Raw genomic sequence first — 14,083 nt, 5'->3', positions numbered from 1 at the left:
CCAGCACCAATGTGATGTGAGTCTCCTGCCTGGACCCTGCCTACAAGGTGCATTGTGACATATCTCTGGGCCCTTTGACTATATTATGTGTCTCTCCTCTCTTAGATGTTGCCCAAAAAGAGATTGTGACATAACTTTGGGCCCAGCACCGAGGTGATGTCTCCCCTCTCCTGCCTGGGGCTTGCCCACCGAAGAGAGAGTGACTTATTGATGAGTTCAGCACACAGGTAATATGACTCTTATTCCGGCTCACAGAAGTCACTGTAACATATATCTTGGCTGATCACTGAGATTATATGACTCTCTTTTTCCTGGGACCTGTCCACAGTGGGGAATGTGACATATTGCTTGGCCCAGAACTTACATGAAGTGACTCTGTCCTTATGCCTGGGCCTTGCCCACTGGGGTGATTTTGACATGTAGCTGGGCCCAGCCTCAAGGTTATGTGACTGCACACTTCTTCCTGAGCCCTACCCACAGGGGGCATTGTGTCATATCTCTGAGACCCTCAATTAGATGATATAACTCTTTTGTTTGGACCCTCTTCTCGGGGTATTGTAACATATTGATGAGCCCAGCATCTAGGTGATGTGACTATTCTCTACTGTTTGGTCTCTACCCAAAAAGGGATTGTGTCATATCACTCTGTCAAGAACCTAGATGAGGTGACTCTCCTCTCCAGCCTGGGACCTACATACGTTGTGTATTGAGACATGTCACTGGCTTCAACACCTGGATAACACAACTCTCCTGCATGGGCCCTGCCCATAGAGGTATTATAAAATATTTTTCTATTAATCACCTAGGTGATGTGACACTCCTCTTCTGCCTGGGCCATGCCAAAAAAGTATTGTTACTTTAGTAGAGACAAGGTCTCAGTATGGTGCACTGAACCCAGCACCTAGGTGATGTGACTCTTCTCTCATGCATGGGCCCTGCCGACTAGGGTGTTTATTACATATAGCTGGACCCAGCCCCTGGGTTATGCGATTTTCTTTTTTTTCTGAGCCCTACCCACAGAGGGCATTTTGACATATTTTTGAGCCCATCATTTAGGTGATGTGACTCTCTTGCATGGGCCCTCCCCACAAAGGACAGTGTGACATATTGCTGAGCCCAGTACATAGGTGATGTGACTCTCCTCTATGGATTGGGCTTTGTCCAAGCAGGAATTGTGATGTATTGCTGGGCCCACCGCCTAGGTGATGTGACTCTCCTCTTCTGCTTAAGGCCTGCATGCTTTGTGTATTGTGACATATGCCTGGATTCAACACCAAGGTGATGTGACTTTATGACATGGGAACTGCCCACAGTATTACGACATATCTTTTTCATCACCTAGGTGATGTGACCCTTTTATTTTCCCTGTTCCTGGCACCTTTTGGGTATAGTGACATTTCACTGAGTTCAACAGCCATGGGATGGAACGCTCCTGCCTGGGCCCAGCACATAGGGGACCTTGTGACATATCTCTGCATCCGTAATCTAGGAGATTTAACTCCCCTCTTCTGCCTGCACCCTGACCACTGGGAGGGCTGTGACAAATCATTGGTCTCAGCAATCAGGTGATGTGTTTTTCCTGCTTGGGCCTTGACCACAAAGAACATTTTAACATATCACTGGGCCCAGCACCCAGATGATGTGACACTGCTGCCTGGTCTCTGCCCTCAGAGAAGTTTGTGACATATCACTGCCCCCAAACCCAGGTGATGTGACTCTACTGCTCAGTCCCTCTTCACTGGTGGGATTGTGATGCATATCTTGGCCCAGCTTACAGGTGCAATGATGACTCTCATACCTCAAAGTAACCAATAGCAGACATACTGTCTCTCATAGCCAGGATTAGGAAAATGAGTAATGTCTTGGGTCTCCTCTTTGTATGAAGATCATAAAGAATTAACACTCTCTCACATACTGTGTAAAGTTGTCAAGAGGTACAAAGAATGTCCTAACAGAACTCAGCACACAGGGGAGGTTGTGACACTCATATGCATAGCCTGCCAAGAGTAAAGACTGTCATCCTTCCACATAAACACAGCTCACTGTTGAGATTCTGAATCTCACCCAGAGGCAGACATACTTGAAAAATCAAATCACATGTGTAACTATCTTTCATAAGGGAGGTGTCTCTCAGACCAGGATCCAGCACACCTGTGAGTCTGTGACTCCACTAAGGGGACACAGTTTGCAGGAGGGATTGAGGTTCTCACACAGATCCAGACCATCATTGAGATTGTGACTCATGTTCTTAGACCCAACATCCAGGAGGTGTTATATGTCATACCTAGATCTAGAAAATGTGTTAAATTGTTAATCTCATACCTTGACCTTCATGCAGATGTGATTGTGACATACACCTCTGCCCAGCACCTGAGTGATTTGACTCTTCTGCCTGGGCCCAGTGTACAGATGGGATTGTGCCACATTGCTGGACCCAGCATTTAGGTGATGTGAGTCTTCTCTTGCCTTAGTGCTTTTCACAGAGGACATTGAGACATATCACTGGGCCTAGTACCCAGGTAATGTGACTTTCCTCTACTTCCTGGGCTTTTCCCAAGAAGGGATTGTAATATATTGCTGGGTCCAACACCTAGGGGATGTGACTCTCCTCTCCTGCCTGGTTCCTCCTGTACATTGCGTATTGTGACATGTGATTGTTTCTAACACCTTGGTGATGTGAATCTCCTGCATGGGCCCTGCTTACAGAGATGTTATAACATATCTTTTCATTCATCACCCAGGTGATATAATTCTCCTCTTTTGACTAGACCCTGCCAAAAGGGGGAATTGTGGCAAATCACTGAACCCAGCACCTAGGTGATGTGACTCTCTTGTTTTGCCTGGGCTTCGCATATTTTGGATATTGTAAAACGTTACTAGGTCCAAAACCTATGAGATTGCATGCTCCTGCCTGGGCTCTGCCCACAGGGACCTTGTGACATATATCTGCATCCATGACCTAGAATGTGTGACATTTCATATTTGCCGGTACCCTGGCCTGCACAGGAAAGATTGTGACATATCCCTGGAAGCAGACACCAGGTGATGTGGCTCTTCTGCCTCTGTCTTGTCCCCAGGGAGCATTGTAACATAGTGCTGAGCTCAGCACCCAGGTGATGTGAGTCTGTTGCCTGTGCTGTGCTTTCAGGAGAGAATTGTAACATATCCCTGGCTGAGCACCCAGGTGATGTGACACTCCTGCTTGGCTCCCTCCCTCAGGGAAGATTGTGAGATACCTTGGCTGAAATCCAGGTGATGTGACTCTCCTGCTAGCTCCCTACCTACAGGTAAAATTGTGACATATACTGTAGTCAGCTTACAAGTGCAATGATGACTCTCATACGTCAAATGAGCTATTAGAAGAAATACTGTCATAGCTCGACTTAGAAAAATGGACGACATTCTGGGTCTCCTCTTTGTATGAAGGTTATAAAGGATTGCCACCCACCTACCTATCATATAATGCCTTCAGGTGTTACAGAAAGTGTCATCACAGGGCACGGCAAACAGATGAAATTGTGTTTCTCATATGTGCACCTCACCAACCATTAGGATTATCACCGTCACACATGGAAAGAGCCCATTGCCGAGGTCTTGAATTTCCCATGCAAACACAGTCCACACTTGGAATTGTGGCTGTCATATGTGAGCCTCCAGCTACAGTTGGAATGGTGACACATTTCTAAACCCAGAACATAAGCAGATGAGGACTCTACTGTCTGGACCCAGCCAATAGGAGAGATGGCACTCATATCTGGGCTTAGGGCCACAGGTATGGTCATGGGTGTTTACAAACATGATCTCAGAGTTAATTGTCATTCTCATTCATAGTGTATAAAGCTTTGGGGTATTTTAAAGAGGGTATTAACAAGGCCCAGAACACAGGAGATTGTGATAGTTGTATGCACACCCTCCCAACAGTATACATCATCATTTTCTCAAATGAACACAGCTCACTTTTGGCCGGATGCGGTGGCTCACGCCTGTAATCCCAGGACTTTGGGAGGCCGAGGTGGGTGGATCACGAGGTCAGGAGATTGAGACCATCCTGGCTAACACAGTGAAACCCCGTCTCTACTAAAAATACAAAAAATTAGCTGGGCATGGTGGTGGACGCCTGTAGTCCCAGCTGCTCGGGAGGCTGAGGCAGGAGAATGGCATGAACCCGGGTGGCGGAGGTTGCAGTGAGCCGAGATCGTGCCACTGCACTCCAGCCTGGGCTACAGAGCGAGACTCCGTCTCAAAAAAAAAAAAAAAAAAAGGAACACAGCTCACTTTTGAGGTTCTGAATCTCACACCCATAGGCAGTCAAAGGTCGGAAACTTGACTCTCAGATGTGGATCCAGTCCACAGGTGAGTTGATGACACTCAGAGCAAGATTCAGCACACCTATGAGGCTGTGACTTCACTAATTAGACAAAGTCCACAGGAGGAGTTGAGGCGCTCAGGCACAATTTTAGTCCACCGTTGAGATTATAACTCCTGTTCTTAGACACAACATATAGAAGGGGTTAACCTCCTATACCTAAAATCATGACATGTATGGGATTGCTAGTATCATCCCTGGACCTTCCTGCAGATTTAACTGTGACATTTTCCTCTCCCCAGCACCTGAGTAATCTGACTCTCTTCCCTGGGACCAGCCCACAGATGGGATAGTGAATATTGCTGAACCCAGATCTGAGATATGACTCTATTCTTATGCATTGGTGCTGCTTGCAGAGGACATTGTGACATATCGCTGGGCCCTGCACTTAGGTGATGTGAGTCTCCTCTCCTGCCTTGGCACTGCCCATAGGGGGCATTGTGACATATCTCTGGGCCTACACCCAGGTTATATGACTGTCATGCCTGTGCCCCGACCACATAAGCAATTGTGACATATTGCTGGGTCCAACACCTGGTAATGTAATTCTACTGCCTAGGTTCTAGAACATCATGACATATCTCTTCACCCGTCACCCAGATGATGTGACTCTCATTTCCTACCTGGTCCCTGCTCACATGGGGAATTTTGACATCTCACTTGTCCCAGTGCCAAACAAATGTGACTCTTCATAAGTTCTGCTTGCGAGAGATATTAAGACATCTTGTGGAGCTTAACAACAATGTGACATTACTGTTTTGTCTTGGCCTGGACCTCAAAAGGCATTGTGACATATTGCTGGGCCCAGCAACAAGGTGACATGGGTTGTTTGTATGAACCCTGATAACAGAGAACATTGTGGCATATCTTTGGGAGCATCAACTGTTTGATGTGACTCTTTTTTTATACCAAGGCTTTGCTCATAGGAGAGATTGTGACATATCTTTTGGCCCAGAAATCAGGTGATGTGTTTCTCCTGCCTGAGCTTTGCTCACAGGGAGCATTGTGACATATCACTGGGCCTAGAACCCAAATGATGTGACTCTACTGAGTGTGCCCTGCTTTCAGGAGGAAATTGTAACGTATCTCTGACCAACCACCCAGGTGATAACACTTCTGCCTGATTCCTGTTCTCAGGGAAGATTGTGACATATCCCTGGCCCAGCACCCAGATGACGTAACTCTCCTGTGCATGCCCTATCCACACGTGAGACTGTGACATATATCTTTGTTTAGATCATAGGTGCGATGTTGACTCTCATGCCTCAAACTAGCCAATAGAAGAGATGCTGTTTCTCATAGCTAGGCTTAGGAAAATGGATAAAATCCTGGCTCTCCTCTTTAGGATGGTCAGAGAAAATTACACTCTCTCACATATTGTATAAACCCTCGGGTAATATAGTGTCATAACAGGGCCCAGCAAACAGGTGCAATTGTGTTTTTTGTATGCACGCTTTGCCAATTGTTAAGACCGTCGGCCGGGGTGGTGGCTCATGCCTGTAATCCCATCACTTTGGGAGGCCGAGGTGGGTGGATCACTTGAGGTCACGAGTTCAAGACCAGCCTGGCCAACATGGTGAAACCGTGTCTCTACTAAAATACAAAAATTACCTGGGCGTGGTGGTGAGCACCTGTAATCCCAGCTACTCCGGAGGCTGAAGCAGGAGAATTGGCTGAACCTGGGAGGTGGAGTTTGCAGTGAGCCAAGGTCTTGCCACTGCACTCCAGCCTGGGTGACGCAGCAAGACTCTGTCTCAAAAATAAAAATAAAAATAAAAATAAAAATAAAAAAGATTGTCACTCTCATCCATGGACAGAGCCCACTGGTGAGGTCTTAAATCTTACAGGTGGATGCAGTGCAGAGTTGAAATTGTGACTGTCGTATGTGAACATCAGGCAACAGCAGAGGTGGTGACTCCTTAGTAAGCCAAGCTTATAGGCAGGGGACAACTCTTATATCTGGACTGAGCCATTGCAGAGAAGTTAACTCTTATAACTGGGCATAGAGCCACAGGCACAATCATGAGTCCAAACCAGCACGAATGTCTCCCAGTCACAAAGGACTGTGACTCTTATGCATACCTTATAAAACACTTGGCTGGTACAGAGCATGTTCTAACTGGGCCCAAAGTACAGTTGAGATTTTGACACTCATATGTACACCCAGCCGACAGTAAATGTTGTCATCTTCTCACATGAACACAGCCTACTGTTGAGGTTCTGAATCTCACACAGATGCAGTTGCAAGGTGGAAAATTTACTCTCATATGTGGATCCAGTTCAAAGGTAAGTTGGTGACTTTCAGACTAAAATTTGACCCACCTGTGAGGCTGTGATTCCACTAAGGAGGCACAGTGGTAAGAGGGACTGAGTTTCTCATGCACTGATTCAGTTCATTTCAGAGACTGTGACTAGTGTACTTAGAACCAACATACAGGAGGTGTTGACTCTCATACCTAGAATCGGGATATGTACAGTATTGTTCATCTCATCCCCTGTCCTTCCTGCAGGTGTGATTTTGACATACACCTCTGCCTTGCACCTGAGTAATGTGACTCTTTAGCACCAGCACAGCCTACAGATAGGATTGTGCCACACTGCTGGACCCAGCACCTAGGTGACGTAACTCTATTCTCCTGCTTTGGTGCTACCCAAAAAGGACATTGTAACATATCTCAGAGCCTTGCTCCCAGGTAATGTGAGTCTCCTCTCCTGTCTTCCTGGTGCCCACAGAAGCAGGATATGTACAGAATTGTTGATCTCATCTGTGGACCTTCCTGCAAGCACGATTGTGCCATATGCCTCTGTATACGCAAGGGTGATTGTGCCATATGCCTCTGTATAGTTTACTCTCCTGCCTGGATTTAGCCCACAGATGAAATTGTGACATATCGCTGGACCAGAAACTAGGTGATGTGACTGTATTCTCTTGCTTCTGTGCTTTCACATGGGACATTGTGACATATCACTGGGCCTAGCACCCAGATGATGGAAGTTCTGTTTTCTGCCTTGGTACTGTCCACAGTGAGCATTGTGACATATCGCTGCTGTCCCCTACAAGTTATGTGACTCTCTTGCCTGTGCTCTGCCAACATGGGCCATTGTGACATGTTGCTGGGTCCAAAACCTAGGTGATGTAACTAATTTGTTTGGGTTCTGCCTATAGGAGTCATTGTCACATATCTCTTTGCTCATCACCCAGGTGATGTGACTTTCTTCTCCTGCCTAGTTCCTTCTCACAAAAACTAATGTGACATATTGCTGAGCCCAGTACCTAGCTGGTGTGACTCAACTCTTCTTTCTAGGTTCTGCCTGCAGAAGAGATTGTAACATGTTGCTGGGCACCTTGGGCCTGCCCTCAGAAGGCATTATGACATATTCCTGGGTCCAACACCAAGGTGATGTGCGTCTCCTGGCTGGACCCTGCCCACAGTGGGCACTGTGACATATCTCTTGGCCCATCAGATTGTTCATGTTATCCCCTTCCCTTTTTTTCCTGGTGTTTGCCCATGAGAGACATTGTGATGCATTTCTGGACCTAGCACCTAGGTGATATCTTCCTGGGACCTGTCTATATGGGTTATTGTGATACATCATGTACGTGGCCCAGTACTTACTTGATGTGACTCTCCTCTCATGCCTAGACCCTGCTCACAGGTATGATTGTGACACATAACTTGACCAAGCCCCTAGGTCATGTTACTCTCCTCTTCTTCTTGAGCCCTTCCTACAGGGAACATTGTGACACATCTCTTGGCCCCTAACCTAAGTGATGTGACTCTCCTGCCTGGGCCTTCCCCTCAAGGGGCCTTGTGACATATTGCTGGACTGAGAACCTAGGTGATGTGACTCTCCTCTACTGCTTGGGATATACCCAAGAAGAGATTTTAATATATCGTTGGGCCCCACACCTAGGTGATGTGACTCTCCTGCATGGGCTTTGCCTGCAGGGGTATGATGACATATCTTTTCTTTCATCACCCAGGTGATGCTACTCTCTACTTATGGCTGGGCCTTGACAAAAAGAGGGATTGGGACATATCCCTGGACGCTGAACCTAAGAGGTGGAGGTTGCCGTGGTGACAGAGTGAGACTTCGCCAAAACAAAACAAAAAAAACAACAACAAAAAGTAAGGCATTGTGATGTATGTGATGTATCACTGGGACTGACACCTAGGTTATGACACTCTCTTCTGCCTGGGCCCTGCATAAATTGTATGTTTTGACATATCACTGGGTTCAACATACAGCTGATGCAACTGTCTCATATAGGCCCTGCTCCTGGGCATATTAGGACATATATTTTCCTTCATCACTTAGGCTGTGTGAATCCTCTCTTCACCCTGGACCCTGCCAAAGGGAAAGATTGAGACATATCACTGGAACTAGCACTTAGGCAATGTGACTCTTCTCTTCTGCCTGCGAACCACATTTTTGGGTATTGTGACATTTAACTGGGCCAAACACCTGAAAGATGGGAGGCTCCTGCCTCAGCCCTGTCTGCAAGGGTTTTTGTGACATTTATCTGCATCCATTACATAAAAGATGTGACTCCTTTTCTACCTGCCCACAGGAAAGATTGTGACATATTGCAGGGTCCAGCCACCAGGTGATGTGTGTCTCCTCCATGTGCATTACTTTCAGGAAGAAATGGTAACCTATCACTAGTTGAGAAACCAGGTGATGTGATTCTCCTGCCTGGTCACTGCCCTCAGGGAAGGATTTTTTATATCATTGGTCCAGCACCCAGGAGATGTGATTCTCCTGGATGCTTTCTGCTAACAGGTTGGTTGGTAACATATATCTTGGCCCAGATCACAGGTGTGATGATGACTCTAAGACTTTGTACTAGCCAATTGAAGAGATACTGTCTCTCACAGCTAGGCTTAGAAAAAGGGGTAAAATCCTGGGTCTCCTCTCTATATGAAGGTTATAAATAATTACTACTCTCTCATATATTGTATAAAGCTCTTGGATGGTACAGAGGGTGATGAGGACATAGCAAACAGGTTAGATTGTGTTTCTTGTAAGCACACTCTGCCAATTTTTAGAATTACCACTCTCACACACAGACAGAACCCACTGATGAGTTCATGATTCTCACGCGCAGATGCAGTACATAGTTGAAATTGTGACTATCATATGTGAACATCTGGCCACAGTTGAGATGGTGACTCATTTCTAAACCCAGCTCATAGGCAGGTGAGGACTCTCCTCTCTGGACCCAGCCAATTGGAGAGATGTTGACGCTCATACCTAGACTTAGGGCCACATAAGATCATGGGTCCATAGGAGCACAAAAGTCTCAGAGCAGATTGCAACTCATGCATACCATATAAAGCCCTCAAGTGGTACAGAGTGTGTCCTGACAGGGACAAGCACACAGGTGAGATTGTGACACTCATATTCACACCTAGCCAACAGCAAATCATTCACTTAAATGAACGCAACCCACTTCTGAGGTTCTGAATTTCACATTTGGAGGCAATTGAATGTTGGAAAATGGACTCTCACTCATGGATACTGTCCACAGTTGGGTTGATGACTTTTTTTTTTGAGACAGAGTCTTGCTCTGTCGCCCAGGCTGGAGTGCAGTGGCCCAATCTCGGCTCACTGCAAGCTCCGCCTCCCGGGTTCATGCCATTCTCCTGCCTCAGCCTCCCAAGTAGCTGGGACTACAGGTGCCTGCTACCACGCCCAGCTAATTTTTTGTATTTTTAATAGAGGCAGGGTTTCACCGTGTTAGTCAGGATGGTCTCAATCTCCTGACCTCGTGATCTGCCCGCCTTGGCCTCCCAAAGTGCTGCAATTACAGGCGTAAGCCATCGCACCTGGCCAGGTTGGTAACTCTTTAACCAAGATTCAGCACACCTTTGTGGCTGTAACTTCACTAAGGCACAGAGTTTGCAAGAGAAATTGAGGCTCATTGGCAAATCCAGTCCACCACTGAGATTGTGATTTCTTGTACTTAAACCCAACATGTAGGAGGTGTTGACTCTCATTCCTTGATTCAAGACAATGTCATATTTTTTTCTTTTGAGATGGAGTCTTGCTCTGTTGCCCAGTCTGGAGTGCGGTGGCACAATCTCGGCTCACTGCAAACTCCACCTCCTGGGTTCAAGTGATTCTCTGCCTCAGCCTCCCAAGTAGCTGGAATTATAGGTGCATGCCACCACGCCAGGCAAATTTTTATGGATTTTTAGTAGAGATGAGGTTTCACCATCTTGGGCAGGCTGGTCTTGAACTCCTGATTTCATGATCCACCCGCCTCGGCCTCTCAAATGCTGGGATTACAGGCATGAAACACCGTGCCTAGCCCTTTCTTTTTTTTTTTTTTTTTTTTTTTGAGACGGAGTCTTGCTCTGCCACCCAACCTGGAGTGCAGTGGCACGATCTTGGCTCAGTGCAACTTCCACCTCCCAGGTTCAAGTGATTCACCTGCTTCAGCCTCCCTAGTAGCTGGGACTGCAGGCACACACCACCACATCCAGCTAATTTTTGTATTTTTGATAGAGACGGGGTTTTGCCGTGTTGGCCAGGATGGTCTCGAACTCCTAACCTCAGGTGATCCACCTGCCTCAGCCTCCCAAAGTGCTGGGATTACAAGTGTGAGCCACTGCACCTGGCTGACAATGTCATTTTTAATGTCACCACAGTACCTTCTTACAGGTCTGATTGTGACATGTGACTCTGCCCAGCATCTGAGTTATTTGACTCTCTCACCTGGGCCCAGCTCACAGTGACATATCATGGGACCCAGACCCTTGGTAATGTCACTCTATTTTGCCTTGATACAACCCACAGGGGGCATTGTGATATATCACTGGGCCATGCACCCAGGTGATGTGAGTCTCCTCTTCTTGATGCTGCCCACAGGTGTACTGTAACATATTGTTAGGCCTAGGTTATGTGACTCTCTTACTTGTGTCCTTTCCACATGGGTTATTGTGACACATGGCTGAGTCCAACACTCAGGTGATGTAACTTCATTCTGGACTCTGTCTACAGAAGTCATTGTAATATATATCTTCACCAATCACTGAGGGAATGTGCCTTTTTTTCCTCCCTTTTCTCTACTCACAGGGGGTACTTTCTGCCCACAAATGAGATTGTGGCATCTAACCCTAAGGTGATGTTACTTCTTTGCTCTGGCTGTGCCCTTAGAAAACACTGAAACATACTGCTGGGTCCAGCACCAAGATTATGTGAGTTTTCTGCCTGAACCCTGACCACAGGAAGCATTGTAACATATCTCTTGACCCATTGCAATTTCTCCTATGGGCAAAGCCCAGGTAAATGCCTTCTTTTTTCTACATGATGTGACTCTCCTCTTCTGGGGTTTGTCTACAGTGGGAATTGTGATATGACTCTTCTTTCATTCTTGGGCCCTTTTCAGTGGGGTGATTGGAACATAAAGCTGAGCCCCATATCTAGGTTATGTCTTTCCTCTTGTTTATGAGCCCTACCCACAGAAGGCATTGTGACATATCCCTAGCCTTTTACCTAGATAATATGACATTTTTGCCTAGGCCTTCTCCTCAGGGGGTATTGTGAAATATTGCTGAACTGAGAACCTAGGTGATGTGACTCTCCTCTGCTGCCTGGGCCCTGTATACGTTGTGTATTGCAACACATCTCTGTGTCCAACACTGAGGTGATGGGCCCTCCCACAGATATATTAAACACATCTTTGTATTTATTACCTGGGTGGTGTGACTCTTCCCTTCTGCTTGAGGCCTGCCAAAAGAAAAGATTGTGACAGATCACTGGGTCCAGCACCTAGGCGATATGACTCTCCTCATTTGCCTGAGATCTTCATATTTTGGATGTTGTGACATATCATTAGAACAAATACCTAGGGGTTGGAAGGTTTCTGACTGAGCCCTTCCTACAGGGGGCCTTGTGACATATTTCTGTATCCATCACCCAGGAGATGAAACTGTCTACTTCTGCATTCTGCCCACTCGGAAGATTGTGACAATCATTAGGCCCAGCAACCAGGTATTGTGTCTGTCCTCTCTGGGCCTCACCCACAGTGAGCCTTGTGACTAAATCCTGGCCCAGCATCCAGGTGATCTTACTCTTCTGCCTGTGTCCTGCTTTTAGGAGGAAATTGTAACATCCTTGGCTGAGTGCCCCGTGATGTGACTCTCCTTCCTGGTCCATGCCCTCAGGGAAGATTGTGACATACCCCTGGTCCAGCACACAGTTAATGTCACTCTTATGCTTGCTCTTTACCCACATATATTGTGGCCAAGAACAAAGATGTAATGATGACTGTCATACCTCGAAGGTGGCAATAGGAGAGATAATGTTGCCCCTAGGTAGGCTTAGGAAAATAACAAAGTCTTTTTTCTGTACAAAAGTCATAGAGAATTACCAATTTCTCACATCTATAAAGACCTAGTATGTTACAGAGAATGTCATAACAAGACCCAGCACACAGGTGAGATTATGTTTGTCCTATGCAGACCCCACTAACCTTCAGAATTGTTATCCTCACACATGGACAGAGCCCACTGGTGAGGTCCTGAATCACACGTGAATGCCGTTCACAGTTGGAATTTTCACTGTCATAAGTGAACATCTGGCCACAGTTGGGATGGTGACTCATTTCTAAACCCAGCTTGTAGGAAGGTGAGGACTCTCCTATCTGGACTCAACCAATTGGAGAGATGTTGACTGTCATATCTGGACGTAGAACCACAGGGAAGACTCTGGATCTCCTTCCTGTATGAAGGTCACAGAGGATCACCATTCTTGCATATTGTATAAAGCCTTCAGGTGACACAGAGAGTGTCATAAGAGAACACAGCACACAGGTGAGATAGTGTTTCTCAAATGTACACCCAGGCAACAGTAAAGATTGTCATTCTCCACAAAAATACATCCCACTGTTGAGGTTCTAAATATCACACATGGAGGCTGTCAAAAGTTAGAGAATTGACTCTCATATGTGGATCTGCTCCACAGGTGGGCTAGTGACTCTCAGACCAAGATTCAGCACACATGTGAGGCTGTAACTGCACTGAAAGGACAAGTCTGCAGAATAAACTGTGGCTGTCTTGCAAAAATTCTGTCAACCATTGAGACTGTGACTCACACACTTAGATCCAACATCCAAGGCTGGGCGCAGTGGCTCACGCCTGTAATCCCAGCACTTTGAAAGGCCAACGCAGGCGGATCACCGGAGGTCAGGAGTTCAAGACCATCCTGGCCAACATGGTGAAACCCCCATCTCTACTAAAAATACAAAAATTAGCCGCGCGTGGTGGCAGGCACCTGTAATCCCAGCTACTCGGGAGGCTGACACAGGAGAATCGCTTGAACCTGGGAGGCAGAGGTTGCAGTGAGCCGAGATCACACCATTGCATCCCAGCCTGGGGGACAAGAGTGAGACTTCATCTCAAAAAAACAAAAGCAAAAACAAAATAGATAAATAGATCCAACATCCAGGAGGTGTTGACTCTCATACCTAGAACCTGGACATGTATGGAATTTCTAATCTCATTCCTGGACTTTCCTGCAGGTGTGATTGTGTGCATCTGCTAAGCACCTTAGTGATTTGAGTTTCCTGCCTTGACCCAGTCCACAGATAAGATTGTGACATATCGCTTGACTCTGCACCTTGAAGATATGACTTTCTCTTCCAGCCTTGGTGCTGCCCACAGGGTGGATTATGACATACTGCTAAGCCCTGCACTCAGGTTATGTGAC

General features: G+C 46.6%; 1 long non-coding RNA gene across 1 annotated transcript; it reads left to right on the top strand.

Moving 5' to 3' along the window:
- Positions 1-7,404: 7,404 nt before the first annotated feature.
- Positions 7,405-13,847, top strand: LINC01858 (long intergenic non-protein coding RNA 1858). The gene is made up of 8 exons (NR_110745.1): positions 7,405-7,497; positions 7,672-8,023; positions 8,352-8,496; positions 10,091-10,205; positions 11,450-11,658; positions 12,261-12,367; positions 12,880-13,188; positions 13,340-13,847. It is a non-coding gene; the product is annotated as a long intergenic non-protein coding RNA 1858 (long non-coding RNA).
- The last annotated feature ends 236 nt before the right edge of the window (positions 13,848-14,083 follow it).

Source organism: Homo sapiens, chromosome 19, assembly GCF_000001405.40.
Source record: "Homo sapiens chromosome 19, GRCh38.p14 Primary Assembly".
Taxonomy (NCBI): Eukaryota; Metazoa; Chordata; class Mammalia; order Primates; family Hominidae; genus Homo; species Homo sapiens.
This window is presented reverse-complemented; position numbering and strand designations above follow the sequence as displayed.